Source organism: Homo sapiens, chromosome 16 (genome assembly GCF_000001405.40).
Source record: "Homo sapiens chromosome 16, GRCh38.p14 Primary Assembly".
Lineage (NCBI taxonomy): Eukaryota > Metazoa > Chordata > Mammalia > Primates > Hominidae > Homo > Homo sapiens.
Window position 1 is genome coordinate 8,990,387 of NC_000016.10, and position 24,899 is coordinate 9,015,285.

The following is a 24,899-nucleotide window of genomic DNA, read 5'->3' on the forward strand; positions in this document are numbered from 1 at the left end:
GCAGTGAGCCATGATTGTGCCACTGCGCTCCAGCCTGGGGGACAGAGCAAGACCCTGTCTCAAAAACAAACAAAACCCAAACATAGACAGTCATTTCCGTTTTCCTGCTGAGATTCTTTACAAAGAGAGAATTATTTTTATATTTAGTAAGAATAAGAATCCAAGAATCCCTGGGGAGTTTTTAAAATGCAGATTCCTCGGTCCTCCTACCTCTGCGGTATTCACCAGCTCCCCTCCCAGCCTCAGAAGGGTGGTTCTTATGGGCTGGGCACAGTGGCTTCCGCCTGTAATCCCAGCATTGGGAGGCCAGGGGAGGCCAAGGCAGGCAGATCGCCTGAGCTCACAAAAAAACTACAAAAATTAACGGAGTGTGGTGGCACATGCTTGTAGTCCTGGCTAACTGGGGAGCTGAGGAACGAGGATCACTTGGAGCCCAGGAGGTCGAGGCTGCTGTGAGCCAAGATCACGACGCTGCACTCCAGCCTGGACGACAAAGTGAGACCCACTCTCAAAAAAAATAAAGATGAAAAATAAAGGTGATTCTTGGACTACCCTTTGAGAAACCCTAGGAATGCAATATGGTATTTTATTACTATTATTATTATTTTTAGACGCAGTCTCGCTCTGTTGCCCAGGCAGGAGTGCAGTGGTGTGATCTCGGCTCACTGCAACCTTCTCCTCTGGGGTTCAAGCGATTCTCCTGCCTCAGCCTCCCAAGTAGCTGGGACTACAGGCACACACCACCATGCTTGGCTAATTTTTGTATTTTTAGTAGAGACAGGGTTTCACTATGTTGGCCAGGCTGGTCTCAAATTCCTGACCTCAAGTGATCAACCTGCCTCAGCCTCCCAAACTGCTGGGATTACAGGCGTAAGCCACCACGCCCAGCCTGTATGGTATTTTATTAATTAATTAATTAATTTTTTGAGACGGAGTCTCACTCTGTCACCCAGGCTGGAGTGCAGTGGCATGATCTCAGCTCACTGCAAGCTCCACCTCCCGGGTTCATGCCATTCTCCTGCCTCAGCCTCTCAAGTAGCTGGGACTACAGGTGCCTGCCACCATGCCCGGCCAATTTTTTTGTGTGTTTTTAGTAGAGACGGGGTTTCACCTGTTAGCCAGGATAGTCTTGATCTCCTGACCTCGTGATCCGCCTGCCTCGGCCTCCCAAAGTGCTGGGATTACAGGCATTAGCCACCGCGCCCGGCCCCATAATTTATTTTTTCTAGAGACAGGGTCTCCCTACATTGCCCAGACTGGACTTGAACTCCTGGGTTCCAGCCATGTCCAGCTTTTAGAAAGGTATTTTAATTTTACATGGGGATGGCTAAACTGGGCGTGAATATCTTTTCTCTCTTCACACACCTTTGTAACAGCTGATAGAATCACCTGGGTCTGGAAAATGTCTGAGCTCTTAATTTCTAATCACTCCTATTGAGATCATAGTAAAAGCAAGAGCAAATATTTATTTAGGACCTACTAGGCAAATTTGCATGACATTTGCATCGCAGTTGCATTTTTACCCTCACAACACTCCCAGGAGACAGTATTTTTATAATAATCATCTCCATTTCTCAGAGGAAACAGCCAATCCCAGCTGGTAAGTGGGAGAGCTGGGATTTGAACTCAAGGCTGACTGTTTAACCTCCAGGCTGTGCTGCCTTCATCGACTAGACACCATAAGCATATGGCAGGTTCCCATGAGCACAAAGAACAGGAAGTCCAACCAGGCATGGTGGCGCATGCCTATAGTTCCAACTACAGGAGGCTTAGGTGGGAGGATCTCTGAGCCCAGGAGGTGGAGTTTGCAGTGAGTCATGATGGCACCACTGCACTCCAGGCTGAGTGACAGAGCAAGACTCTGTCTGAAAAAAAAAAAAAAAAAAAAAAAAAAAAAAAGGAAAAAGAGAAAAACAGCCAGGCGTGGTGGGTCACGCCTGTAATCCCAGCACTTTGGGAGGCTGAGGTGGGTGGATCACGAAGTCAAAAGATGGAGACCATCCTGGCCAACATGATGAAACCACATTTCTACTAAAAATACAAAAATTAACCAGGCATGGTGGCGCGCACCTGTAGTCCCAGCTACTTGGGAGGCTGAGGCAGGAGAATTGCTTGAACCTGGGAGGTGGAGGTTGCGGTGAGCCGAGATTGCACCAGTGCACTCCAGCCTGGGCAACAAGAGCGAAACTCCATCCCAAAAAAACAAAACAACAACAACAATAAAAAAAAAAAATCACCCCCCCCAAAACAATAGGCTTATTTTAAGCAGGGCACCACTTATGCTATAAACATTGCTTCTTATTTTATTGCTATAAACATTGATGATTATTCCCCTATCCCTATGCAAATCAACACAGTGGGAAGATAAAGCAGATAGCAGGTTTGGTACCTGGTGGTCCCTGTCTCCTCTGCAGAGGTCAGGGATGCCTCTGAGAGACCGTGCTTATTTTTGTCTCTTGCAGTTTGTGACAACCACATGCACTCTGCGTCCCAGGGTAGCCCCTGGCTCGCAGCGGCCAGCAGAGCCGGATTCTATGTAAGATGCAAAATGAGACCTGATGTGCGGCTGCTCCAGTTACTCATTTCCTCAGAGGGCTGCTGTGATGGGCAGAATCATGGCTCCCCAAACATGTCCACACCCTAATCCCCAGAACCTGTGCATATGTTACCTCACGTCAAGCAGAAATTAAGATTGCTAATCAGCTATTTTTGATTTTTATTTTCTTTTTAAAGACAAGGTCTTGTTCTGTCACCCAGGCTGGAGTGCAGTGGTGCAGTCTTGGCTTACTGCAACCTCTGCCTCCTGGGTTCAAGCGATTCTGCTGCCTCAGCCTCCAGAGTAGCTGGGATTACAGGCGCCCACCAGCACGCCCAGCTAATTTTTGTCTTTTTAGCAAAGATGTGGTTTCACCATGTTGGCCAGGCTGGTCTCAAACTTCTGGCCTCATGTGATCTTCCTGCCTTGGCCTCCCAAAGTGCTGGGATAACAGGTGTGAGCCACTGCACCTGATCCAAGCTGATTTTATTTTTTATTTATATATATATTTTTTGAGATGGAGTCTGGCTCTGTTGCCCAGGCTGGAATGCAGTGGCGGGATCTTGGCTCACTGCAACCTCTGCCTCCTGGGTTCAAGAGATTCATCTGCCTCAGCCTCCCGAGTAGCTGGGATTACAGGTGAGTACCATCGAGCCCAGCTAATTTTTGTGTTTTTAGTAGAGACAGGGTTTCACCGTGTTGACCAGGCTGGTCTCAAACTCCTGACCTTAAGAGATCTGCCTGCCTCAGCCTCCCAAAGTTTTGGATTACAGGCCACAGCCACCACACTCACCCTGGCCAGCGTTTCTTTTTTCTTTTTCTTTTCTTTTTTCTTTTCTTTTTTTTTCTTTTTTGAGATGGAGTTTTGCCCTTGTTGTCCGGGCTGGAGTGCAATGGTGCAATCTCAGCTCACCGCAACCATCGCCTCCCAGGTTCAAGCGATTCTCCTGCCTCAGCCTTCTGAGTAGCTGTGATTACAGGCATGTGCTACCACATCTGGCTAATTTTGTATTTTTAGTAGAGACAGGGTTTCTCTATGCTGATCAGGCTGGTCTCGAACTCCTGACCTCAAGTGATCTGCCTGCCTTGGCCTCCCAAAGTGCTGAGATTACAGGCATGAGCCACCGCGCCTGGCCTTTCTTTCTTTCTGTTTTTGAGACAGGATCTCATCCTGTTGCTGAGGCTGGAGTGCAGTGGCGTGATCTCTGCTCCCAGGCTCAAGTGATCCTTCTGCCTCAGCCTCCCAAGTAGTTGGGACCACAGGCATGTGCCACCACGACCAGCTAATTTTTGTATTTTTAGTAGAGACGGGGTTTCAACATGTTGCCCAGGCTGATCTCGAACTCCTGAGCTCAGGTGATCCACCCATCTCGGCCTCCGAAAGTGCCGGGATTATAGACGTGAGCCACTGTGCCCGACCCCTGGCCAGTGTTTCTGATGGCTTCCATTTCTGGGCCCTCCTGGGGCCTTTAGGTTTTGCAAGATGCTATAAGGATACTGATCCTTATAGCAAACCCTCCCTTTTGCTTAAGATAGCTGCATTCCTGGCTCAGCAGATGCCTAACAACAGAGGAAGCATTTGGTTACAGCTATCATTCTCCTGTATTGACAGGGAGAGACTTGCCAAACACCCCGGAGAGGTGAGATTGGGATTATACCCAGTTTACCAAGGAAGAGTTGGTGGTGGTGATGCTGGGTGTCCCTGGAGGTAGTGATGAAAAATGATGTTTGACTCTTTGTGGTTGATGGATGAGAATATACCCACTTCCACCCCCCTGAACTGTAGCTATTCTAGGAAGCAGCTCTGGCATCAGTGAGAGTAGCTTCCACAAGGAGAATGCTCCATGGGTATATTAAAAGAAATCCTTTCCATGAACCCTAAAAGCGTCCTGCTAGACAGTTTGACTACAGGTCTTTTCCATTTCTCTGGGTCACAAGGCCCAGGACAGTGAGTCCATGTCATTTTCACGGTGAATGTGGTGATTTCTCCCTGCTCTGTAAAACACCAGGAGTAGGATTATTTTATATCAGATCCATGATTTGTTTGTTTGTTTGTTTGAGACAGGGCCTCACTCTGTCGCCCAGGCTGGAGTGCAGTGGCACTGTCTTGGTTCACTGCAACTTCCCTTTCCCAGGTTCAAGCGATTCTCCTGCCTCAGCCTCCTGAGTAGCTGGGATTACCGGCACCCGCCACCCTACCCAGCTAATTTTTGTATTTTTTAGTAGAGACAGGGTTTTGCCATGTTGGCCAGTCAGCCTCCCAAAGTGCTGGGATTACAGGTGCGAGCCACCCAGCCCGGCCAGATCCATGATTTCATAATATGGATTGATCTACTCTGCAAACATAGCATAACCTTGTGTACATCTTTTTTTTTTTTTTTTTTTTTTTTTTTTGAGACGGAGTCTCGCTCTGTCCCCAGGCTGGAGTGCAGTGGCGCGATCTTGGCTCACTGCAAGCTCCGCCTCCTGGGTTCACACCATTCTCCTGCCTCAGCCTCTTAAGTAGCTGGGACTACAGGCACCCGCCACCATGCCTGGCTAATTTTTTTGTATTTTTAGTAGAGATGGGGTTTCACCGTGTTAGCCAGGATGGTCTCGATCTCCTGACCTCGTGATCCGCCCGCCTCGGCCTCCCAAAGTGCTGGGATTACAGGCGTGAGCCACCGCACCTGGCAACCTTGTGTAAATCTAAATGTCGCCTGCTAGGTCACAGTACCCTCAGTGATAACACGACGTGCTTGGAAGAGGTGGCTGCGGTCCTTTGGCTTAAGGGACTGTGTAGTTGAATGTGCATTTTCTTTCTTTCTTTTTTTGAGACAGAGTCTTGCTCGGTCAACCAGGCTGGAGTGCAGTGGCGCTATCTTGGCTCACTGCAACGTCGGCCTCCTAGGTTCAAGCAGTTCTCATGCCTCAGCCTCCCGAGTAGCTGGGACTACAGGCACTCGCCACCATGCCTGGCTGACTATTTTGTATTTTTAGTAGAGATGGGGTTTCACTATGTTGGCCAGGCTGGTCTCGAACTCCTGACCTCAAGTGATCCGCCTGCCTCAGCCTCCCAAAGTGCTGGGATTACAGGCGTGAGTCACCGCTCCCTGCCACAATGTGCATTTTCATCTCCTTTTCTCTACGTTTCTCTGGGAGAACTTCAGGTGGTCCTGTCTCTTCTCATCTCTCCGTATGCCTAAGGCTGGTCAGACTGACTCCTCCCCCTGGCCACTGGATTGGCTCAATAGACAGGCATGTGACTCAGGCTGGACCAATCAGAATTTTCTCTAGGATTGGCCAGGCACAGCGGCTCAAGCCTGTAATCCCAGCACTTCGAGAGGCTGAGGCGAGGGGATCACTTGAGGTCAGGAGTTTGAGACCAGCCATGGTGAACATCGTGAAACCTGGTCTCTACTAAAAATACAAAAATTAGCCAGGTGTGGTGGTGCACGCCTGTAGTCCCAGCTACTCTGGAGGCTGAGGCACAGGAATCGCTTGAACCTGGGAGATGGAGGTTGCAGTGAGTCGAGGTCAAGCCATTGCACTCCAGCCTGGGCGACAGAGCGAGACTCCATCTCAAAACAAAACAAAACAAAACAACAAAAAACAACAAAAATTGCTAGGATCCCTTCTAGGATTTAGGAAGGGACAATTTAGGATCCCAAAGCTCAAGCTTCATGACTCTCCCGTGAAGGCACCTCTGTTTGCACCCCAGAATCAGTCACTTCATTTGTTTTCAGTTATTACTTTCTTCTGAACATTATGTCAGATTAAGCTAAAGCATTGTGTCCTGACTGCATTAGCCTCTGTCTACAAGGCTCCTGATAGCTGGCAAATGGTTAAGAATATTTATACTGTTTCTGTGTTAACTGTATCAAAAAAAATTAATCTCACCGGTACTCTCTGTTCTCTCTTTTAGTAACCAATTTAGCAGCTCCGTGCACTCAATTCAGCTCCTACTAACAACACAGAAAAGCTTAATAATAGGTGTGAGATACTGTGCTAAGTGCTTTAAAGACATTTTCTTATTTAATCTTGTTGAGAACCCCGAGAGGCAGCATAAGGGACACTGTGGATTGCAACTCTGCATCCACTCTGCATTTTCTTAAGACCAAACGCCTGCATGTAGCCCATGTGACTGCGGGGGGCCAGCCCCACTCCCAGCTCCAGGGATGGGCTCTGATTGGTCTGAACATGGTTATCCCATTTCCCTGCCTGTGATTGGTTCAAGTAGACAGACCTAAGCCAATCAGCTTCAGGCATCCCACCATGTGAATGGGTTCTCAGTCTATGGGTGGGTATGAGACTTATATTCGACCAATTATATTGAAAGGAAGGAATTTTATTTCACGATGGGGAAGGACTGTCTATTGCTCACTGGATATGAACAACAAGGCATGTGGCCTGAATTATCACCAGAAGCCATCTAGCAAACACGAAAAACAAAAACAAAAACAAAAACAAAAATACCCCACAACTTTGAGGCTGGGATGAGGGTTTATGAACCCAGGAGTTTGAGGATGCAGTGAGTTATCATAGTGCCACTATGCTCCAGCCTGGGTGACATAGCCAGACCGTGTTTCCAAACAAAAGCGAAAACGAAATGAATCTTAACCTGAAGGTGAACCTTAGATATAGAGATGGAAAGTTTCTGGGTCCTTGGTGACCAGGTTCAGCTTCTTGATCAGCCTTTTCTTTTTTATTTTTTTTTTTAGACGGAGTCTTCCTGTGTCACCTAGCTGGAGTGCAGTGGCACGATCTCGCCTCACTGCAGCCTCCGCTTCCCGGGTTCAAGCGATTCTCCTGCCTCAGCCTCCCGAGTAGCTGGCACCATAGGCGCCTGCCACCACGCCTAGCTAATTTTTGTATTTTTAGTAGAGACGGGGTTTCACTGTGTTGGCCAGGCTGGTCTCAAACTCCTAACCTCATGATCCGCCCGCCTCAGCCTCCGAAAGTGCTGGGATTACAAGCGTGAGCCACCACGCCAGGCCTTTTTTTTCTTTTTCTTTTTTTTTTTTTTTAAGACGGAGTTTGGCTCTTGTCCCCTAGGTTGAAGTGCAGTAGCGCGATCTCAGCTCACTGCAACCTCCGCCTCCCGGGTTCAAGCGATTCTCCTACCACAACCTCCCGAGTAGGTGGGACTGCAGGCGTGAGCCACCTCACCGGGCACTGGATACTGGATCAGCCATTTCTGAAGGCCAGAAATGGCCTTCTGGGATTTTTGCTATGTGGGATAATATATTCTCTTATGGTTCTAACCAATTTCTGTTCCTTACAGCCAAAAACATCTGGTGGATATATGTAGATATTACTCTCATTTCACATTTGAGAAAACTGAACTCAAAGAAGTTATGTAATATAAATGAGTCACTCAGCTAGTAAATGGCACAGCTGGGTCTGTCTGGCTTCCAGGCTAATGCCCTTAATCACACCAGTATGAGGATTAGCTTGAAGCATCCATGTCCTATCACCCCCGTTTCTGCAAGACAACTCATAACAACAACAGGAATAATGGGAGCTAATAATTGTTGAATATCTATCATGTATCAGGCACTGTTGTTTTTCTCTTTTTTTTTTTTTTGGTTTTTTGTTTGTTTTTGAGACTGAGTTTTGCTCTTGTCACCCAGGCTGGAGTGCAATGGTGTGATCTTGGCTCACTGCAACCTCCACCTCCCAGGTTCAAGCGATTCTCCTGCCTCAGCCTCCTGAGTAGCTGGGATTACAGGCGCCTGCCACCACGCCCATCTAATTTTTTGTATTTTTAGTAGAGACGGGGTTTCGCCATGTTGGGCAGGCTGGTCACTCCTGCCCTCAGGTGATCCACCTGCCTCGGCCATGCTGGTATTACAGGTGTGAACCACCTTGCCCAGCCATTCAGGCACTGTTTTAAGTGATTAACCTGCATTCATTCCTTTTTTAAATTATTATTATTATTTTATTTTTTGAGACGGAGTCTTGCTCTGTCCCCAGGCTGGAGTGCAGTGGCGCTATCTCGGCTCACTGCAGACTCCGCCTCCCGGGTTCACGCCATTCTCCTGCCTCAGCCTCCCGAGTAGCTGGGACTACAGGCGCCCGCCACCACATCCGGCTAATTTTTTGTACTTTTAGTAGAGACAGGGTTTCACCGTGTTAGCCAGGATGGTCTCAATCTCCTGACCTCGTGATCTGCCCGCCTCGGCCTGCCAAAGTGCTGGGATTACAGGCGTGAGCTACCGCGCCCGGCCTAACCTGCATTCATTCTTTAAAATAGTCACTTTTTTTTTTCTTTTTTTGAAACAGAGTCTTGCAGCCTTGACCTCTCGGGCTCAAGTAATCCCCCAGCCTCAGCCTCCTGAATAGCTGGGACTACAGGTGTGTGCCACCATGGCTATTTTTTTTTTTTTTTTTTGAGATGGAATCTTGCTGTCACCCAGGCTGGAATGCAGTGGCATGATCTCGGCTCACTGCAACCTCCACCTCCCAGGTTCAAGCGATTCTCCTGCCTCAGCCTCCTGAGTAGCTGGGATTACAGGCACCTGCCACCATGCCAGGTTAATTTTTGTATATTTAGTAGAGACGGGGTTTTGCCATGTTGGCCATGCTGGTTTCAAACTCCTGATCTCAGGTTATCTGCCTGCCTCAGCCTCGCAACGTGCTGGGATTACAGATGTGAGCCCCTGCGCCTGGCCTTATTTATTTATTTATTTATTTATTTATTTATTTATTTATTTTGAGATGGAGTCTCACTCTGTAGCATAGGCTGAAGAGCAGTGGCTCGATCTTGGCTCATTGGAACCTTCGCCTCTCGGGTTCAAGCAATTCTCCTGCCTCAGCCTCCCCAGTAGCTGGGATTACAGGCATGGGCCACCACACCCAGCTAATTTTTGTATTTTTAGTAGAGACAGGGTTTCACCATGTTGGCCAGGATGGTCTCAAACTCCTGATCTCAGGTGATGTGCCTGCCTCGGCCTCTCAAAGTGCTGAGATTACAGGTGTGAGCCACCATGCCTGGCTTTTTTTTTTTTTTGAGACAGGGGTCTGGGACTGTTTTCCCAAGCTATAGTGCAGTGGCACAATCATGGCTCACTGTAGCCTTGAACTCCTGAGCTCGAGCAATGCTTCCAACTCAGCCTCCCTACTAGCTGGTAGCTGGGACTAAAAGTGTGCACCACCACGCCTGACTAATTTTTGTATTGTTTTGTAGAGATGGGCTGGGGGGGTGGTGGGGAGTTGGCCATGGCTGGTCTCAAACTTTCGGACTCAAGTGATCCACCTGCTTTAGCCTCCCAAAGTGCTGGGATTACAGGCTTGAGCCTCTGTGTCCAGACAATTCTTTAAAAATTTTTTTCAGAGATGAGGTCTCACTATGTTGCCCAAGCTGGTCTTGAATTCTTGGGTTCGAACTATCTCACCACTTTGGCCTGTCAAAGTGTTGGGATTACAGGTGTGAGACACTGTGCCTGGCCTTTTTATTTGTTGATTTATTTTGAGACACAGTTTCACTCTGTCACCCAGGCTGGAGTGCAGTGGAGTGATCTCGGCTCACTGCAACCTCCACCACCCAGGTTCAAGCGATTCTTGTGCCTCAGCCTCCTGAGTAGCTGAGATTACAGGCGTGCGCCACCATGCCCAGCTAATTTTTGTATTTTTAGTAGAGACGGGGTTTTACCATGTGGCCAGGCTTGTCTCAAACTCCTGATCTCAGGTGATTCGCCCATCTCAGCCTCCCAAAGTGCTGGGATTACAGGCCTGAACCACTGTGCCCAGCCTCTTGCATATCATTAATTTAGGAGCGGAAAACCTTTCCAAGTGTACAAAAAGGATGCTAACCACATGCTCACTGCTTGTCTAAGTGCTTAATATGTACTCCTTGCAACAACCCCCAAGGTAAGTTATATTATTATCATTCCTCCTTATAGATAGACAGGTGTGCCTCCTGAGGCACAGAGAGATTAAGGAATTTGTCTAAGGTCACACAGCAGTATGAAACAGAGCAGAGATTTCAACCTAGAAAGTCCGACTAATCACACACAATGGTGAACTCCAGCATTTAACTTACTAGGGGAAGAAAGGAAGGAGCTTTTTTGTTTTGGAGATGGAGTCTCCCTGTGTCACCCAGGCTGGACTGCATTGGCAAGATCTCAGTTCACTGCAACCTCTGCCTCTTGGTTCAAGTGATTCTCCTGCCTCAGCCTCTCGAGTGGCTGGGACTACAGGTGTGAGCCACCAAGCCTGGCTAATTTTTTTTGTTTTTTTTTTTGCATTTTGAGTAGAGATGGGGTTTTGACATGTTGGCCAGTCTGGTGTAAAACTCCTGACCTCAGGTGATCTACCCACCTTGGCCTCCCAAAGCAGTGGGATTACAGGGATGAGCCACCGAGCCTGGCCGGAAGGAGCTTCCAAAATGTTAGTTAAAGCACCCCAATCCCTTGCTGGGCCTAGTTAATACTTTTTAAGTTGAGATGATAATATTTTGCACATACTGGGTTAAATAAAATATGTCGCTAAAATTATTTCCACCTGTTTCTTCTTGCTTTTTTTTTTGAAACAGAGTCTTGCTCTGTCACCCAGGCTGGAGTGCAGTGGTAGGATCATGGCTCACTGCAGCCTCGACCTCCCAGGCTCAAATGATCCTTCCACCTCAGCTTCCTAAGTACCTGGGACCACAGGCAAGTGTCACCATACCTGGCTAATTTTATTTAACAAAAATTTTTGGTAGAGATGAGGTCTTTCTACATTGTGTTGAACTCCTGGGCTCAAGTGATCCACCCGATTCAGCCTCCCAAGTGCTGGGATTATAGGTGTGAGCCACTGCACCCGCCCCTTTACCAATCTTTTTTTTTTTTTTTGAGACAGAGTCTCACTCTATTGCCCAGGCTGGAGTGCAGTGGCACGATCTCGGCTCACTGCAACCTCTGCCTCCTGGGTTGAAGTGATTCTCCTGCCTTAGCCTCCTGAGTAGCTGGGATTACAGGCACGCACCACCAGGCCCAGCTAATTTTTTTGTATTTTTAGTAGAGATGGGGTTTCACCATGCTGGCCAGGCTGGCCTCGACCTCCTGATCTTGTGATCTGCCCGCCTCGGCCTCCCAAAGTGCTAGGATTACAGGTGCGAGCCACTGTGCCCAGCCTGCCTTTACCAATCTTAGACACCTCTTGGAATATTCCCTGGAATTATGACAACCCGCTGAGACTCCAAGCACCACTGCCAAATCCGTCTCCCAAAGCACCACTAAGCTCCTTTCCAAAAACCTGCCAGCACTGACTTCTGTGTGAGTGAGTCCAAATTTTCTAGACTGTCATGCAAGACCTTCTGATTAGCATCAGCTCTCTTAGCACATACAGGATGTGGCTGTGGCATCCCAGGGACCTGGATTCAAGTCATGCCTCCCCTTCTTGGTAGGTGTGTGATCCTAGGCAAGTCACTTCACTGTTCTGGCTTCCATTACCTCATCTGTGGAATGGGGATGATAATATGCACCTTGTAGGGACAATGATGTCTTCAGCACAGAGCTGAGTGTGCAATGAGCACTTACCACTGTGAATCCATATTATTATTACATGGTGTTTTCTTTTCTTTTTTTTTTTTGAGAAAGAGTCTCACTGTGTCACCCAGTCTGGAGTGCAATGGCTTGAATATAGCTCGCAGCAGCCTTGACCTGCCAGGCTTAAGTGATTCTCCTGCCTCAGCCTCCCAAGGAGCTGGGACCACATGGGTGTGCCACCACTCCTGGCTAATCTTTTTTTTTTTTTTTTTGAGACGGAGTCTTGCTCTGCCTCCCAGGCTGGAGTGCAGTGTCGCGATCTCAGGTCACTGCAAGCTCCGCCTCCTGGGTTCACGCCATTCCCATGCCTCAGCCTCCCGAGTAGCTGGGACTACAGGCACCCACCACAACGCCCCGCTAATTTTTTTGTATTTTTAATAGAGACAGGGTTTCACCGTGGTCTCTGTCTCTTGACCTCGTGATCCGCCCGCCTCAGCCTCCCAAAGTGCTGGGATTACAGGCGTGAGCCACCGCACCCGGCCGACTCCCAGCTAATCTTTAAATTTTTTGTAGAGACAGGGTCTTGCCATGTTACCCAGGCTGGTGTTGAACTCCTGGACTCAAGTGATCCTCCCACCGCAGCCTCCCAAACTGCTGGGATTACAGGTATGAGCCACCCACCCAGCTTACTTTGTGCTAATTTTTTGTTGTTGTTGTTGAGACGGAGTCTCACTCTATCACCCAGGGTGGAATGCAGTGGCTCGATCTCAGCTCACCACAACCTCTGCCTGCCAGGTTTAAGCGATTCTCTCACCTCAGCCTCCTGAGTAGCTGGGATTAGTGGCACCGGCCACCACGCCTGGCTAATTTTTGTATTTGTAGTAGAGACAAGGTTTCACCATGTTGGCCAGGCTGGTCTCGAAGTCCTGATCTCAGGTGATCCTCCCAAAGTGCTAGGATTACAGGCGTGAGCCAGGTCGCCCAGACTTTTTTTTTTTTTTTTTTTTTTTTAAGAGATAGGGTCTTGCTCTGTGTCCCAGGCTGGAGTGCAGTGTTGCAACCATAGCAATCATAGCTCACTGCAGCCTGTAACTCCTGGGCTCAAGCAACGTTCTTGTCTCAGCCTCTGGAGTAGCTGGAACTACAGGTGTGAGCTACCGCACCCAGCCTTATAATTACTTTGGTTCTATTTACCCTCCCAGCTGGCTAGGCTGGTCTGGTGACCATAGTGTAAGGAGGAGTGCCTCATTCTTGCCAATAATAGCGACAAGGATGAGGATAGTCAAACAACTCACACCTACTGAGGTCTATTCTGTGCCAGGTACTGTTGGGGCCACACTATAACTTCCATGGACCCTTCCTTCATGAAAAAATATTGTCATTCATGACTGTATTGGTACAAAGAGAAATATAAGGGAGACTGGATTATATTCATTTTTCAGTTCTTATTTATTTATTTTTGAGATAGTCTTAGTCTATCACCCAGGCTGGAGAGCAGTGGCATCATCTCAGCTCACTGCAACCTCTGCCTCCTCGGCTCAAGCAATCCTTTTACCTTAGCCTCCCAAGCAGCTGAGACCACAGGCACAAGCCACTACACCTGGCTGATTTTTTTTTTTTTTTTTGTAGAGCTGGGGTTTCACCATGTTGCCCAGGCTGGTTTCGAGCTCCTTAGCTAAAGTGATCCACCCAGCTTGGCCTCTGAAAGTGCTGGGAATACAGGCGTGAGCCACTGCACCCAGCCTATTTTTTTTTTTACTTCTAATATTAAAAGAAATTTAAACAATTCCCTGGGCCCCTAAAAATATTGAGGGACCTAGGCACTGTGTCTAATGTAGATCTTGGTCCTGTGCATAGTGCTAAGCACATTGTGATTTGTCATGACAGCTCCAGGGAGCAGGGACAGGGTGGAATACCCTTTATTTCTAGGATTTATTCCTGAAGACTTGGCATTATTTTATTGTGTTATGTTATGTTATTTGCTTATGAGACAGGGCCTCACTCTGTTGTCCAGGCCGGAGTACAGTGGTGTAATCACAGCTCTTTGTAGCCTCGACCTCTCAGGCTTGTGATCCTCCCCCTCCCACTTCCAGAGTCACTGGAATTACAGGAGTGAGCACGCCCAGCTTGGCATTGTTTTATTTTAATTAATTATTTTTCATTTTTATTTTTATTTTTTTGAGACAGGATCTCACTCATTGCCCACGCCAGAGTGCAGTGGCACTATCTCAGCTCACTGCAACCTCCGCCCCTTGGACTCAAGCGATCCTCCCACCTCAGCCTACCAAGTAGCTGGGACTACAGGCATGTGCCACCACGCCCGGCTAATTTTTGTATTTTTAGTAGAGACGGGGTTTTGTTATGTTGGCTAGGCTAGTCTTGAACTCCTGATCTCAGGTCATCCACCTGCCTCGGCCTCCCAAAGTGCTGAGATAACAGGCATGAAACACTGCACCTGGTCTATTTATTTATTTTGAGACAGAATTTCCTACTCTCACCTGGGCGGGAGTGCAGTGGTGCCATCTCTGGTCACTGCAACCTCTACCTCCTGTGGCTCAGCCTCCCAAGTAGCTGGAATTACAGGCATGTGCCACCATGCCCAACTAATTTTTGTATTTTTAGTAGAGACGGAGTTTTGCCATGTTGGCTAGGCTGGTCTTTAACTCCTGGGCTCAAGCAATCCACCTGCCTCAGCCTCCCAAAGTGCTGGGATTACAGGCATGAGCCACTGCACCCGGCCATGATTTTAAATTCGTATAATTCATTAGCAAGCCTGACTCAAGTTGGCAAATATGTCGATTTCCCAAAGAAACTCACATAGCAGGAGCCATCAAATAAATAGTCAGTATTATAGGGCTGACAATCCTCAGACCTAGTAACTTTTTTTTTTTTTTGAGTCAGAGTCTCACTCTGTTGCTCAGTCTGGAGTACAGTGGCGTGATCTTGGCTCACTGCAGCCTCCGTCTCCTGGCTTCAAGCGATTCTCCTGCCTCAGCCTCCCAAGTAGCTGGGATTACAGGCGCAAGCTACCATACCAGCTAATTTTTGTATTTTTAGTAGAGACAGTGTTTCACCATGTTGCCCAGGCTAGTCTCGAACTCCTGGCTTTAAGTGATCTGTCTGCCTTGGCCTCCCAAAGTTCTGGGATTACAGGCATGAGCCACCGCGTCCAGCCAAGGCCTATTTTCATCTGCAACAAACAGATTTTGTGAGCAAAAAGCGGGGAAAGTGGCTGCTGGGGGAACCACACCGAACTTCTCAAAGGCAGGGACCATGTTTTAGGTGTCTCCTTTTGCCTACATGGGGCTTATAACTCAAGCAATGTTTGTGAATGAAAAAAGCCAAAGAGGCCGGGCACAGTGGCTCAAGCCTGTAATCCCAGCACTTTGGGAGGCCGAGGTGTGTGGATCATCTGAGGTTGGGAGTTTGAGACCTGCCTGGCCAACATGGCGAAACCCCAGCTCTACTGAAATATAAAAATTAGCCGGGCGTGGTTGCTCATGCCCGTAGTCTCAGCTACTTGGGAGGCTGAGGCAGGAGAATGGTTTAAACCCAGGAGGCAGAGGTTGGATTGCACCACTGCACTCCAGCCTGGGCGACAGAGTGAGACTGTCTCAAAAAAAAAAAAAAAGCAAAAGAGAATTTATTTAAGAGTTTGATTCAGCTGCAGTGGCTCACGTTTGTAATCCCAGCACTTTCGGAGGCTGAGGCAGGAGGATCTCTTGAGCCCAGAATTTCGAGACCAACCTAGAAAACATACGGTGACCTTTTCTCTACAAAACAAAAAATTAGCCGGGTGTGGTGGCATGTGCATATGGTCCCAGCAACTTGGAAGAATGAGGTGGGAGGATCACTTGAGCCTGGGAGATCGAGGCTGCAGTGAGCTGTGATTGCACCAATGCCCTCCAGCCTGGGCAACAGAGTGAAACCCAGTCTCAAAAAAACAAAAACAAGAAGAGTTTAAGGAACATTTTTTCCTGAAACATGGTTCATGATAAATTTAATCTCTAAAAATGTTTTAGGAGGAAATGTTGTAAGTTCAATAAAATGCCTTTCTCTGTACCTGTGGCAGGTAGGCAGAATAATGACCCAAAAGGTGTTCACGTCCTAATCCCTGGGACCTGTGAATATGTTATGTTACACCGCAATGAGAAATTAAGTTTGTAGATAGAATTAAGGTTGCTGATCAGTTGATCTGAGATGGGGAGAATACGATGGCTTATCCAGGTGGGCCCAATGTAATCAGAAGGGTACTTACAAGAGGAGGCAGCAGGCTTAAAGAAGAAAAAAGGATCAGGTGCAGTCCCTCACGCCTGTAATCCCAACACTTTGGGAGGCTGAGGCGGGTGGATCACGAGGTCAGGGGTTTGAGACCAGCCTGGCCAATATGGTGAAATCCCGTCTCTACTAAAAGTACAAAAAATTAGCCGGGTGTGGTGGTGCATGCCTGTAGTCCCAGCTACTCAGGAGGCTGAGGCAGGAGAATCACTTGAATCGGGAGGTGGAGGCTGCAGTGAGTTGAGATCGCACCACTGCACTCCGGCCCGGGTGACAGAGCAAGACTCTGTCTCAAAAAGAAAAACAAACAAACAAACAAACCAAAAACTGGAAAAGGCAAGAAAAAGGATTTTCCAGCTGGGCGTGGTGGCTCACCCCTGTAATCCCATCCCTGTGGGAGGCCAAGGTGGGAGGATTACTTGAGCCCAAGATGTCGAGGCTGCAGTGAGCTTTGGTTGCACTACTGCACGCCAACCTGGGCGACAGAGCTAGACCCAGTCTTAAAAAAAAAAAAGGATTATCTTCCAGAGCCTCCAGAAAGGAAATACAGCCTTTCTACCCTGATTTCAGCCCAGTGAGACCCGTTTTGAACTTCTGACCTCCCGAACGGTAAGATGATAAATGTGTGTTATTTTAAGCCAGCAAGTTGGTGGTAATCTGTTACGGCAGCCCTAGGTCACTGATACGTCATCTCCGGTGTCTAGTCCCTAGCAATGGGCCCCTGGGAACTACATCTCTGGTGCTGGCTCTCTGGAGTTGTCCCCTCCCACACTGAATCCAAGCTGCCTGCGACTCACCAATGCATGATGCCAGATGTGGTGCTGCGTGGGCTCCAGACCCAAGATTTAAGAGGACTGGGGCAGATCCATTTTTGTACTTTTGGGAATCCCAAAATGCAGTGCATGAAGCTCAGCAACCCTGTCGGGGAGGCCACGTGTGGAGGCAGTGCCCCGCAGCAGCGCGGGAGTGAGAGGAGGCAGCCTTCCCAGCATCCTGTGGAGCCTCCAGAGGACTCTAGCCTGTCAGGCTGTGACAGCGTGAGAGACCCCCAGTGAGATCAGCAATGGAATGGTTCATCTCAGCCCAGTGCGCCCACAGAACCAGAGACGTAATGACATGGTCGTTTCAAACCACTACATGTTGGAGCTGAATTTATTTTGCAACCATCGTAACCAAGCCACTGTCCTATTTTAGTGGCCATGAGTTGAGGGCTACCATGGTGGGTGCTGGGGAACTATTGTCTCATTCAAGTCACTCATTGTCCTGCATATTACCCCCACTTTTTCTTTTCTTTTTTTTAGAGACAGGATCTGGCTCTGTCGCTCAGGCTAGAGTGCAGTGGTGCGATCATAGCTCACTTCAGCCGCGGACCTCTTGGGCTCAAGCAGTTCTCCCCCTCAGCCTCCTAAGTAGCTGGGATGACAGGCACACACCACCATACCTGGCTAATTTTAAAATATTTTGTAGAGACAAGGGTGGGGGCGGGGGGGGGGTGTGGTTCTCACTATGTTGCCCAGGCTGGTCTTGAACTCTTGGCCTCAAGCAATCCTCCTGCCTTGGCCTCCCAAAGCCCTTGGCTTACAGGTGTGAGCCTGTACCGTCAAGACGAAGAAACGGAGGCTCTGAGAGGGGAGATCCTAAGCCTGCTGGTGGATGGAGGAGCTGAGTTTGAACCCAGGTCTGCATCTGGAGCCCCAAGCTCTGTGCACGTCCCACTGCCACCTCCCCACCGGGTTCATGATATCATTTCTCAGAGGCCTTGGTTGGTCCCAGCCGCAGCTTTGTCTCCCTTGCCCACCGCTGTGCTGGCTTAAGCGAACTCATAGCTATGCTCCTTCCCTTTTACCCCATCGGAAAAGGGAGCAGGATTACTTACAGTAAGTGAAAACCAAGACTTGTACAGGAAGCACGGCCCGATCCATTACAGGGTTATTCTAGCCCATAATGTACCTGTGCACTTTCAGACACAGCCAGACTGTCTGAAGAGGGGTCGAGAGGGTTTCAACGGGCCAGTGGGATCAAGGCTCAGAAATGCAGAACTGACGGGGAGCAAAGCCCCCGCCCCCCAGCAGTGTGCTCATTCCCACGGGACTCCTGGGGACTGCCATCGCACCCACGCACTCCAGAACGTGCGGCTGGCTCAGAGGTGGGGGTGTCCACCGCAGTCCTGGGTTTCTGAGCCTGTTGTTCCTTCCCTAGGGGCGCAGGGAGGGCCTTCCAGCGCCAAATCACCAGCCATAGCTCAGGGCCCTGACCCCGGCTGGGCTCAGATTCAGCCCCTGCTTGCGGTCCTCGCACCCTCTAGTGGCCACGGGGAGAAAGAAGTAGCTCAGCGGAGATTCTGGAGCTGGGTCCGGGTGGACACTGCACCCCACCCGGCAAGCAGGAGAGAGAACCCAGAAGAACGGATGACTCCCTCACACGCCTCTTTCTAAAGCATGCTGGCGCTGAATAACCACAGGGGTCCGTGATCTTTATCAATTACATGTGTCCGGCCTTATTAGCTCTTAAAGGAATCTTGTTTTCTCTCTCGCTGTTTTTTTTTTCCTTTGAGACAGGGTCTCACTTTGTTGCCCAGGCTGGAGTGCAGTGGTGCGATCATAGCTCACTGCAACCTCTAACTCCCGAGCTAGATTCTCCCACCCCAGCCTCCCGAGTAGCTGGACTACAGGAGCACCACCACACCAGGCTAATTTATTTATTATTTTTTTAAGATATGAGAACTTGGCCAGGCGCGGTGGCTGACGCCTGTAATCCCAGCACTTTGGGAGGCCGAGGCGGGCAGATCACGAGGTCATGAGATCGAGACCATCCTGGCCAACATGATGAAACCCCGTCTCTACTAAAAATACAAAAAATTAGCCGGGCATGGTGGCAGGCGACTGTAATCCCAGCTACTCGGGAGGCTGAGGCAGGAGAATGGCTTGAACCCCGGAGGCAGAGGTTACGGTGAGCTGAGATTGTGCCATTGCACTCCAGCCTGGGCAAAAAGAGCGAAACTCTGTCTCAAAAAAAAAAAAAAGATATGGGACCTTGCTATGTTGCCCAGGCTGGTCTCCAACTCCTGGGCTCAAGTTATCCTTCCACTTTGGCTTCCTAAAGTGCTAGGATTACAGGTGTGAACCACTGCGACTGGCTGATACTCAGCTTTTTTTTTTTTTTTTTTTTTTTTTGAGACAGAGGCTTGCTTTGTCACCCAGGCTGGAGTGCAGTGGCATGATCACAGTTCACTGCAGCCTTGAACTCCTGGACTCAAGCCATCCTTCCACATTAGCCTCCTGAGTAGCTGGGACTACAGGTGCACACTACCATGCCAAGTCGATGGAAGAGCTGGGTTCAAGCTTTATTTTTATTTATTTTTATTTTTTTTACTTTTTGTAGAGACGGGGTCTCACTGAAGTGTTGCCCAAGCTGTATTCGTGTATTTTTGATCCATAAAAAGTCAATTTCATATGGTTCAGCCTAAATTTCAACAATTCACATGCTTACTTATTCACATCCCCAAAGGGATCCACAGAGATTTCTTCCTGAAATACGATGACCTAGAGCAAGCAAGTTAAAATAAATAAAAAATAAATAAATAAATAAATAAATAAATAAATAAATAAAAAAGAGTCACCTCAAACCACTTAAAAGGAAGACAGGACAATTGCCAAAAAAAGAGACAGTCATTGAATGTTTTCAGTTTTAGTTTTTGAGATGGAATCTTGTTCTGTCACCTAGGCTGGAGGGCAGTGGCGTGATCTCGGCTCACTGCAACCTCCGCCTCCCAGGTTCAAATGATTCTCCTGCCTCAGCCTCCCGAGTAGTGGGGCTTATAGGCATGCACCACCACACCTGGCTAATTTGTGTCTTTTTAGTGGAGACGGGGTTTCACCATGTCGGCCAGGCTGGTCTCGAACTCCTGACCTCAAATGATCCACCTGCCTTGGCCTCCCGAAGTGCTGGGATTGCAGGTGTGAGGGACCGTGCCCCGCCAGTCAATGCATTTGATAGTCATTGTACTTGAGTTTAGTTGTTTCTAGGAATTCAAGGTGAAAATGGAAAGATGAGAGTGTAGGCTGTCTGCTGTCAGATAAAAGGAACTAAGTTGAGAAGGGGATACAGATGTTATCCTCAGCCCAAATCCGGGAGAACAATGTCCAAGTTAACACTTAAAGTCTCAGCAAGTCATCATCTCCTGAACTTCAGTTCTGACAAAATGACATTTTTCTTTAGGCTGAAGGAGTTAACAGTGAGTGGCTTTTAGTTCCAGCAGAGAACTAAACTAAAAGTTTAGGCTGAAGTGTAGTGGCATCACTACAGCAGAAGGCAATTATTGGATCAAAGGGACAGTTTAGTGCACCTTTCGAAGACACTAATTTGATGCAGAGGTGACAACCAAATCCTGATCCATGATCGTGCCATGCAGTGCTTAGCTCAGAAGGGAAACTAAATGCTACCTGTTTTGTTTCACTTCAAAAAAACTCATCATTTTTGCGTCACACTTTATTTTATTATATTTATTTTTTTGAGACGGAGTCTCACTCTGTTGCCCGGGCTGGAGTGCAGTGGCGTGATCTCGGCTCACTGCAACCTCTACCTCCCAGGTTCAAGCGATTTTCCTGCCTCAGCCTCCCGAATAGCTGGGATTAAAGGTGCCCACCACCACACTTGGCTATTTTTAGTAGAGACGAGGTTTCACCATGTTGGCCAGGCTGGTCTTGAACTCCTGACCTCAGGTGATCTGCCCGCCTCGGCCTCCCAAAGTGCTGGGATTACAGGCATGAGCCACTGCTCCTGGCCACTTTATTATTGTTATTATTTGAGACAAGGCCTCACTATGTTGCCCACTCTTGTATCAAACTCCCGAGCTCAAGCAGTCCACCCGCTTCAGCCTTCCAAAGTGCTGGGATTGCAAGCATGAGCCACCATACCTGGCTGACACTTTCTTATTTATTATTTTTATTTTATTTTATGTTTTTGAGACACGTCTTGCTGTGTCACTCACGCTGGAGTGAAGTGGCATGAACATGGCTCACTGCAGCCTCAACGTCCTGGGCTCAAGCGATCCTCCCACCTTAGGCTCCCAAGTAGCTGGGACTACAGATGTATGCCACCATGCCTGGCTAATTTTTAAATTTTTCTGTAGAGGCTGGGTCTCACTATGTTGTCCAGGCTGGTCTTGAACTCCTGAGCTCTGTCGATCCTCCTGTCTTAGCCTCCCAAAATGTTGGGATTACAGGCATGAGCCACGATGCCCGGCCTATTTTTATTTTTTATTTGACACTTGTTGTGGACTAGGGAATGTGTTAACACTTTACTTTTTAAAAAATTATTTATTTATTTGTTTTTTTGAGACACAGTCTCGCCTTGTTGCTCAGGCTGGAGTGCAGTGGCTCCATCTCGGCTCATTGCAACCTCCGCCTCCCGGGTTCAAGTGATTCTCCTGCCTCAGCCTCCAGAGTAGCTGGGATTATAGGCACCCACCACCACGCCCAGCTAATTTTTGTATTTTTAGTAGAGACGGGGTTTCACCAGGTCTCGAACTCCTGACCTCAGGTGATCCACCCGCCTTGGCCTCCCAAAGTGCTGGGATTACAGGCGTGAGCCACTTCGCCCAACCAAACAATTTAAATTTTCATATAAACATCTATTTTATTCTCACAGCATTAAAATATAAACAAACAAAACCCCAGAAAGCTTCAGGGTCAGGTAAGAATTTGTTTCGTGCAGGGTTTCTCTAGATCAGCAAACAACACGCTTTGGGGGCCTTACTTTGAAAGAAATCCAGATTCAGAATTCACAAGCTTGGTTTTCCCAGCCGCTGTGGTCCATAATTACTCACAGCTAAGAGCCTCCTTCTTCAGGTCAGAAGTCCTCAAATAGGGATGACGGGCAAAGGAGGAGTGATTCTTCCCTCTCCCAGTGGACATTTGGCTGTGTCTGGAGACATTTTTGGTGTCATAAATAGGGGGAGGGTGGCAGGATGCTCCTGGCATCTGGCTGGCTGAGGGTAGGGGTGCTGCTAAACAGCCTACAGTGCACAGAAAGTGAGCGCAGTGGCTCATGCCTGGAATCCCAGCACTTTGGGAGGCCGAGGCAGCAGGATCACCTGAGGTCGGGAGTTCGAGACCAGCCAGACCAACATGGAGAAACCCCGTCTCTACTAAAAATACAAAAATTAGCTGGGCGTGGTGGTGCATGCCTGTAATCCCAGCTACCTGGGAGGCTGAGGCAGGAGAATCACTTGAACCCGGGAGGCGGAGGTTGTGGTGAGCCGAGATCATGCCATTGCACTCCAGCCTGGGCAACAAGGGCGAAACTGTCTAAAAAAAAAAAATTTAATTTATTTTTGGAGAGACAGGGGTCTCGCTGTGTTGCCCAGGCTGGTCTCCAACTCCTGGCCTCAAGCGATCTTCCCACTTCAGCCTCCCAAAGTGCTGGCATCACAGGCATGAGCCACACCGCCCCCTAGGCCTTCAGTTTCAGGTGGGAGTCCTGAGATGGGGACTGGAGCTCCCGGATTTGGATGTTAAAGGGAAAAAGTGACTCCAAGCGAGGAGAGCCCTGGAGACCCTTTGCGTTTCCCAGGCTACAGAATTAATCCGGGCGCACCCAGCAGTGGGGGAGCTGTTCTTCCCATTGGCGTCCCCTCTCCCCTCTCTGCCAGCACAGGGCCGGCTGGGGGCGACGACGGTGCGTGCGGAGGACGCGAGCTCCATCTGCCGCCTGCAGGGGTGGGAGGGAAGCAGGCTGGACCACTTTGGGACTGAGCTCCCGGGAGGAGGAGGCGGCGGCAGCAGCTGCCTGCCTGCCCCCATGCCAAGTCCGGCTCCTGTTTCTCACCTGGTGGGAGTCGTAGTGAGCAAACCAGCGGAGGGAGATACTCTGAGTTCCTTTTCTTGCAAATGGGACAGCAAGACGTGGGAATAAATCACCCAGGCCTCGTGCTGGAGCAGAGCGAACACGGGCTGTTCTGCTTTGGATTCTGCAAGCCTCCTCCCCCAACTTCTAGAATCTTCTGGTACTCGCATTAAGAGGTATGACGAAATCACATCCATCTGGGCAGTAGGAATAAGGAATCTGGGGTCACCAGAACATGATCTCGGATATAGGAGGATCTCAAACCTGACTGCATGTTGGTATTAGGTGGGGAACTTTAAAAAAAAATACTGATGGCTGGGCCCCATGTCCAGAAAGCCTGGTTCAATGGGTCTGGGGGGTGTGGCCCACCCCACTGACTTTTTTTTTTTATTTTAAGACATGGTCTCACTCTGTTGCCCAGGCTGAAGTGCAGTGGCAAGATCATGGATCACTGCCGCCTCGAACTCCTGGGCTCAAGCAATCCTCTTGCGTCAGTCTCCTGAGTAGCTGGGACTACAGGTGCATGCCACCATACCTAGCTAGTTTTTTTTTTTTTTTTTTTTAAGAGACTGGGGTCTCACTATATTGCCCAGGCTGGTCTCAAACTCCTGGCCTCAAGCAGTCCTCCCAAGTCAGCCTTCCAAAGCACTGGGATCACAGGCATGAGCCACTATGACCAACCTGGATACTAAAAAAACAAAAAAACCTTCTCAGGTGTTTATAATGTGCAGCCAGGACTGAGAACTAGTGATTTTATGCAGAGAACAAAACAAAACCCAAAATCCTACTGAGCAGAGAAAAACTGTAAGCCTGCAGGCATCCTATAAGCCTGGGTTTGATTCTTGACCTCATCAGTTGAATCCTGACTACACCTGAGCCTCACAGAGTCCAGCCTGTGATCCTGGCCAAGTTTCTGAACCTCTCTGAGCTTTATTTACCTATAACACAGGGAGGGTGGCAGCTGCATCTCAAGATTTGTGTTGCTGTCAGTGCTCCAGGCACACTGGGCTTCTTGTCTCCAGACACTGGCATCTTTCTGGTCTCCTTGCTTCTACCCAGGCTGCCCTCTCCACCCAGCTCACTCCAAACATCTTTAATACCCAGCTCAAGTATCATTTGCTCTGAAAGCCTGTGTGTGCATGCAATTGTAATTCCTTCTGCCTGAGATTTTCTTCCTTCAGCTTGTGGCAGTGAATTCTAACTTTCCCCTGATAGCCATTCTCCTCTTCTTTCTTCAGTACTAGGTCCCTGTGTGTTACCTGAGCACTCAGAGGAGACCGTGTTTGCCACTTGATTAAACTCTGGCTCATAGAATGTGAGCAAAGTGACACGTCCAACTTCTAGGTCGTGGCCTTAAAAGAAACAAGCATGCTCTCCATTTTTACTTCCTGCTGGCTGGATTGTTAGTGTGATGGTGGGTACTGAAGTAGCCCTTTTTTTTTTTTTTTTTGGAGACAAAGTCTCTGTCATCCAGAGTAGAGTGCAGTGGCGCAATCTTGCCTCACTGCAATCTCTGCCTCCCTGGTTCAAGCAATTCTCCTGCCTCAGCCTTCTGAGTAGCTGGGATTATAGGTGTGCACCACCACACCCGGCTAATTTTTGTATTTTTAGTAGAAACGGGGTTTCACCATGTTGGCCAGGCTGGTCTCAAACTCCTGACCTCAAGTGATCTGCCTGCCTCAGCCTCCCAAAGTGCTGGGATTACAGGTGAGAGCCACTGCGCCCAGCTGCAGTAGCCCTTTTAAAAAAATTTTTTTGAGACAGAGCCTTACTCCATCATCCAGGCTGGA

At 48.7% G+C, this 24,899-nt stretch overlaps 4 annotated features.

The window, feature by feature from the left end:
* Positions 1,606 to 1,900: an enhancer, noted in NCBI's record as "tiled region #2468; HepG2 Activating DNase matched - State 5:Enh, and K562 Activating DNase unmatched - State 5:Enh". NCBI's record gives its function as "activates a minimal TATA promoter and a strong SV40 promoter by Sharpr-MPRA in HepG2 and K562 cells {active_cell/tissue: HepG2 | K562}" and the evidence as "EXISTENCE:reporter gene assay evidence [ECO:0000049][PMID:27701403]".
* Positions 6,566 to 6,860: an enhancer, noted in NCBI's record as "tiled region #11265; K562 Activating DNase unmatched - State 9:DNaseU". NCBI's record gives its function as "activates a minimal TATA promoter and a strong SV40 promoter by Sharpr-MPRA in K562 cells {active_cell/tissue: K562}" and the evidence as "EXISTENCE:reporter gene assay evidence [ECO:0000049][PMID:27701403]".
* Positions 18,309 to 18,880: an enhancer, noted in NCBI's record as "H3K4me1 hESC enhancer chr16:9102552-9103123 (GRCh37/hg19 assembly coordinates)". NCBI's record gives its function as "activates a minimal SCP1, AML or CMV promoter by ChIP-STARR-seq in primed H9 embryonic stem cells {active_cell/tissue: H9 hESC(primed)}" and the evidence as "EXISTENCE:reporter gene assay evidence [ECO:0000049][PMID:30033119]".
* Positions 18,680 to 18,729: an enhancer, noted in NCBI's record as "active region_10368". NCBI's record gives its function as "activates an Ori minimal core promoter by ATAC-STARR-seq in GM12878 lymphoblastoid cells {active_cell/tissue: GM12878}" and the evidence as "EXISTENCE:reporter gene assay evidence [ECO:0000049][PMID:35858748]".